Source organism: Homo sapiens, chromosome 6, assembly GCF_000001405.40.
Source record: "Homo sapiens chromosome 6, GRCh38.p14 Primary Assembly".
Taxonomy (NCBI): domain Eukaryota; kingdom Metazoa; phylum Chordata; class Mammalia; order Primates; family Hominidae; genus Homo; species Homo sapiens.
This window is the reverse complement of record NC_000006.12, coordinates 67,821,298-67,827,248: the sequence shown is the minus strand read 5'-3', so window position 1 is coordinate 67,827,248 and position 5,951 is coordinate 67,821,298. Positions and strand designations below refer to the sequence as shown.

The following is a 5,951-nucleotide window of genomic DNA, read 5'->3' as shown; positions in this document are numbered from 1 at the left end:
TATTTAACCTTTCTGAACTTTGGTTTTCTTGTTCTACAACTGGAAAAAATTTCCCATTGGTTTTAAGTTCCAAAAGTTATGAGAAATAATAAAAATGTTTTTTTAGCAGAATATTTTACATACTGCATTTATTACCAATTAGATAGGGAGTATGACTTTCAGCTTCTCAAGTGAGAGTAAGTTAGTTTAAAATCTTGTTCTGTACATACCCCATTTGAGACAATTGAGGTCATAGAAAGCTCCCTGAACCTCATTTTGTCCTCTATAAAATGGGGCCAATGATAGTATCAATGTGTTTTGAGAAGTTGCTGCATGGAACAGGAATGGTGTTACTGCTATTGCTAACAAAGCATTTTTTGAGAAGACAAATTTATGATTACTGCACAGTTTTCCACATGCATATTTTTTGTTTAATATGTTGCCTAGGCAAAGTTTTAATTCCAGTTAAGTCTCCATTGAGAAATAAGTATAACTTGGACATACTCATTACTGCACAAGTGTAGGTTTGTGTCTGGAATTGGTGGGTTCTTGGTCTCACTGACTTCAAGAATGAAGCCGTGGATCCTCGCGGTGAGTGTTACAGCTCTTAAGGCAGCACGTCTGGAGTTGTTCGTTCTGATACTCAGATGTGTTTGGACTTTCCTCCTTCTGGTGGGTTCGTGATCTCACTGGCCTCAGGAGAGAAGCTGCAGACCTTCGCGGTGAGTGTTACAGCTCATAAAAGCAGTGCAGACCCAAAGAGTGAGCAGCAGCAAGATTTATTGCAAAGAGTGAAAGAGCAAAGCTTCCACAGTGTGGAAAGGCGACCCCAGTGGGTTGCCACTGCTGGCTGGGGCAGCCTGCTTTTATTCCCTTATCTGGCCCCACCAACATCCTGCTGAGCTGATTGGTCTGTTTTACAGAGAGCTGACTGGCCCATTTTGACAGGGGGCTGATTGGTGTTTTTACAATCCCTGAGCTAGACACAAAAGTTCTCCAAGTCCCCACTAGATTAGCTAGACACAGAGCACTGATTGGTGCATTCACAAACCTTGAGCTAGACACAGGGCACTGATTGGTGTGTTCACAAACCTTGAGCTAGACACAGAGTGCTGATTGGTGCATTTACAATCCTTAGCTAGACATAAAGGTTCTTGAAGTCCCCACCAGATTAGCTAGATACAGAATGCTGATTGGTACATTTACAAACCTTGAGCTAGACACAGAGTGCTGATTGATGCATTTACAATCCCTTAGCTAGACATAAATGTTCTCCAAGTCCCCACCAGATTAGCTAGATACAGAGTGCTGACTGGTGCATTCACAAACTCTGAGCTAGACACAGAGCACTGATTGGTGTATTTACAATCCTCTAGCTAGACATAAAAGTTCTCCAAGTCCCCACCAGACTCAGGAGCCCAGCTGGCTTCACCTAGTGGATCCTGCACCAGGGCCACAGGTGAAGCTACCCGCCAGTCCCTTGCTGTGCACCCGCACTCGGCCCTTCGGCAGTCGATGGGACCAGGTGCTGCAGAGCAGGGGGCGGCGCTTGTCGGTGAAGCTCGGGCCACCGTGCAGGAGCCCACCTTGTGGGGGAGCCACGGTGGGCTGCAGGTCCCAAGCCCTGCCCCGTGGGGAGGCAGCTGAGGCCCACCAAGAATTCCAGTGCAGCACCTGCGGGCTGGCACTGCTGGGAGACTTGGCGCACCCTCCACAGCTGTTGGCCCGGGTGCTAAGCCCCTCACTGCCCGGGGCTAGCAGCACTGGCCAGCAGCTCTGAGTACGGCCCGCCGAGCCCACATCCACCCGGAACTCGCACTGGCACGCGAGCACCGCACACAGCCCCAGTTCCTGCCCGCGCCTCTCCCTCCACACCTCCCCACAAGCTGAGGGAGCCAGCTCCGGCCTCGGCCAGCACAGAGAGGGGCTCCCACAGTGCAGCCGCAGGCTGAAAGGCCCCTCAAGCACTGCCAGATTGGGTGCCGAGGCCGAGGAGGCGCCGAGAGCGAGAGAGGGCTGCGAGGGCTGCAGGCACGCTGTCACCTCTCAGGTTTACTTGGGGAATCTGAAATAAAAAGGTTGGAAAGTTAACTTTACTAAGAACAAAATGATATAATGCATTCCAAGAGTAAATTTTAATGCCTTTTAGAATGTCCTTGATGTTATTTCTTTCTTTACATGTGACTAAATTTATTAATAATTATTAAGTAAATCCTTAGGTATTATGTGAAAGCTTAATGCACTAAATTTATTATATTTCTACATATTCATAAACATTTTGGAAGATGGCTACCCAGCATGTAATTTTCAAGGCAGGCCTATAATACATATCAGTCAAAATGGGCAAGGGGATTGCAAACCATAATGTCTACAATTGAAAGGAGTACATTTCAAGATAGCTTTCGTTTTATGCAACTAGGACCTGAAATAAATATTGCCAGTGGGGATGTAAAGAACACTGTAGATTACCATCACTTTTCCTATCTAAAACACACATAATATTGGTAAAAATTCTGGCCTAGAAGATAAAATCATTATAAAACATTAGGAATATTGTTATCAGATGTTATAAACAAAATAAGGAGTCATACACACTCAGAAGTAATACTATAGATTATTTATATCACAAGTTTGTATAACATATTTAGAAATTATCAATAGTCTTTGAGAGACTCAATGTAAAACCTCCTGCAATATGAAGTATGCATTTATGAATGGTGAATGACATTTTATTTAATGCAACCCACAAAACTAAATGCAACTATATCTTGAGCTTTTATACAACTTGGCACAACTTCAAGCCAGGGAGAGCACTAGTCGTTGATGATGCTCATTCTTCTACAGTTTAGAAAAGATGCAAAAAATAAACTCAAACGATTTTAAAGAGGGCTAGACTTGTAAAAACACTTTTATTACGAGAGAAAAGGTCACTGATTTTCTAAACAGAGACTTTGCACTACATAAAAGAGAATTCATTTTATTAAATGAATGATGAGCCAAGAAGGTCACAGTAGCTTGAAAAGAACAATAGCAGGTCATGAGCTTATAAATCTTTGAAGAACTTTCTTTCATTTAAGAGGCTCAGGATTATTATTCGATTTGGTAAAGTGCAAGAAACAATAGGAGGTCATTCACACTGTTGCAAGGTATCAATTAACACTTTACAAATATTGAGTGTAAATTTTACCTAGATTTGACAGTGTGTAAAAAAAAAGGACAAAGTATATAATTTACATGGTTTTGCAAAACACAGCACAGAAGCAGGGGATTGATGCATGTGTAATTCTTCAATAATGTAGGTTATTTCAATTAATGTAAAAACAATCAATTTAACTTTCACACTGCTTATTTGATCATTCTTTATATTTTTATTCATTTTCTAATTAGCTTCCCCATTACTTAAACTAATCAAGTTTCAAAAGAACAAAGGAAGATAATTATTAATATTTCCAGTGATATTCATTTGTTTTTCTCTCAATGTCAGATTGTACATCCAGAGTAGGAAATTAACATTTCAAAGTATCTCTGTGCTCTGTGATATTTCTTATCAAATTCCAGGGAGAGTGGGGGTTTTATACACACACTCATATATATATGCAAACAAGTATTTTATATACATATAAAGTATGCACACACATACATATCACAAATAGCATATCCCATTTAGTTATTTGTCAATAAATTTTACTTTATCAAATACACAATAAAATTTTTGTAAAATATGGGATGGAGATTTTTGCACTTTTATATCTGTAATGTGCAGCCTGACATTTTGAACACACTATATACCAAAAAAATCTGTAAATTAGTCAGTAGGAATGAATCCGTAAAATACTTCTTAGCTTTGAGCAGAGTAATTGCTTTTGTTTCTATCAATTGTATAACAAATTAATTTCCATTTTAACTGTGACATGTAATGAGCATGGAAGACAACATTTTTGACCTTAAAATAAATAAACAACAAAAAAACTTGAACCCTGAAAATCATTGACTTTTTTGGATCTATTAGAGAAGCGAGCTTGCAGGGCAAACTGGCACCCAGAATCTGAAAAGATACGGAAATTCTTACACAGTTCCGGTAGAGATCTGTTTATTTGGAGCAAAGCAGCAGAAGCATAATGCGGAAGAAACACGTAAGTCATAATTGGATGAATTGCTGGAAGTTTCAAGTAGCCTAGCATGAGCGCAAAACTACCGAAGGCAACAGTCTTGGTATAGCCCAATACTTTTGCAGACTTAACATCCAAAACCTCTACCAGATTCACCTTATAAAGATCCAAAAATGATCCCTCTTTGTCTCTGGCAGTAGAAGGGGAAGGATAATCATTCCAAAAAACTTGCAGAACATTTTCCAAAAGAAAGGCCATTTTTCATGGAGAGAGACCTCACCAGAGCCTCTTCTCAGCTTCATCCCCTCCTAGCCTTCTGTTTTATCTAAGAGAGGAGGGGAAAGCTGTACCATCAGAGAACACCAGATTTTGAAGTTCCAAAGACATAGGCTCACTAAAGATTGAGAAGTAATAATATGGTGGAAAAATATATTTCTTCCCTCCCAATTTACCACTAATAAAACAGGGCTCCACTAAAGTAACAGTGCATTACTGCTGGAAGATTGGAAACATGCAGATTTTGTGAGAAGTATTTATGGGATTCTAAAGTCAAGTGGGGAGGCAAAATAAGTACGTAAGAGGAATTTGAATTCACTGATGCTTACAAGTATAGTAAACAATAAACACAGACAAACCCCTACTCACATTGTGTCCAGAATTGGTGGGTTCTTGGTCTTGCTGACTTCAAGAATGAAGCCGCACACCCTCCCCGTGAGTGTTACAGTTCTTAAATATAGTGTGTCCAGAGTTTGTTCCTTCTGATGTTCAGATGTGTCCTGAGTTTCTTCCTTCTGGTGGGTTCGTGGTCTTGCTGACTTCAGGAGTGAAGCCGCAGACCTTCGCAGTGAGTGTTACAGCTCTTAAGGGTGGCACGTCCGGAGTTGTTCCTTCTTGCTGGTGAGTTCGTGGTCTCGCTGGCTTCAGGAATGAAGCTGCAGACCTTCGTGGTGAGTGTTACAGCTCATAAAGGTACTGCATACACAGAGTAAGCAGCAACAAGATTTATTGCAAACAGGGAAAGAACAAAGCTTCCACAGGATGCAAGGGGACCTGAGCAGGATGCCACTGCTGGCTTGGGTGGCCTGCTTTTATTTGCTTATCTGGCCCCACCCACATCCTGCTGATTGGTCCATTTTACAGAGTGCTGATTGGTCCATTTTACAGAGTGCTGATTGGTCCATTTTACAGAATGCTTATTGGTGCATTTACAATCCCTTAGCTAGACACAGAGTGCTGATTGGTGCATTTACAATCCTTTAGCTAGACACAAAAGTTCTCCAAGCCCCACCTGATTAGCTAGACGCAGAGTGCTGATTGGTGCGTTTACAAACCTTTAGCTAGACACAGAGTGCTGATTGGTGCATCTACAATCCTTTAGCTAGACAGAAAAGTTCTCCAAGTCCCCACCCGACCCAGAAGCCCAGCCAGCTTCACGTCTCAACATCATCATAAATCTTCACACAAAAGGTTTACTTACTTCAGGCCCTATTACCCAACACATGCTTGGCTTGCAACAAAAAGTTAGAAGGCATTCTAAAAGGCAAGAGAAAACACAGTCTAAAGAAGAAAAACAAGTATCAGAATTATACTCAGATATGACAAAGACATTGAAAATATTAGGTGGGGAGTTTAAAATAATGATTTATATGTGAAGGGTTCTAAAGGAAAAAGTAGGCAACATGCAAGAACAGATGGGTAATGCAAGCAGAGAGAGAGAAACTAAGAATCATAAGGCAGTGCCATAAATCAAAAACACCATAACAGGAATGAAGAGTCCTTATGGTAGATTCATCAGTGGACTGGACATGGTTTAGGAAAGGATGAATCAGCTTGAATATAGGTCAATAAGAATGTCCCAAACTG

The 5,951-nt window shown here is 41.0% G+C and overlaps 2 annotated features.

The window, feature by feature from the left end:
- Nucleotides 979-1,273: an enhancer, noted in NCBI's record as "tiled region #5869; K562 Activating DNase matched - State 24:Quies". NCBI's record gives its function as "activates a minimal TATA promoter and a strong SV40 promoter by Sharpr-MPRA in K562 cells {active_cell/tissue: K562}" and the evidence as "EXISTENCE:reporter gene assay evidence [ECO:0000049][PMID:27701403]".
- Nucleotides 4,346-5,545: an enhancer, noted in NCBI's record as "BRD4-independent group 4 enhancer chr6:68531597-68532796 (GRCh37/hg19 assembly coordinates)". NCBI's record gives its function as "activates an origin of replication core promoter dependent on BRD2, P300/CBP, MED14 and CDK7 cofactors, and independent of BRD4, by STARR-seq in HCT116 cells {active_cell/tissue: HCT116}" and the evidence as "EXISTENCE:reporter gene assay evidence [ECO:0000049][PMID:35650434]".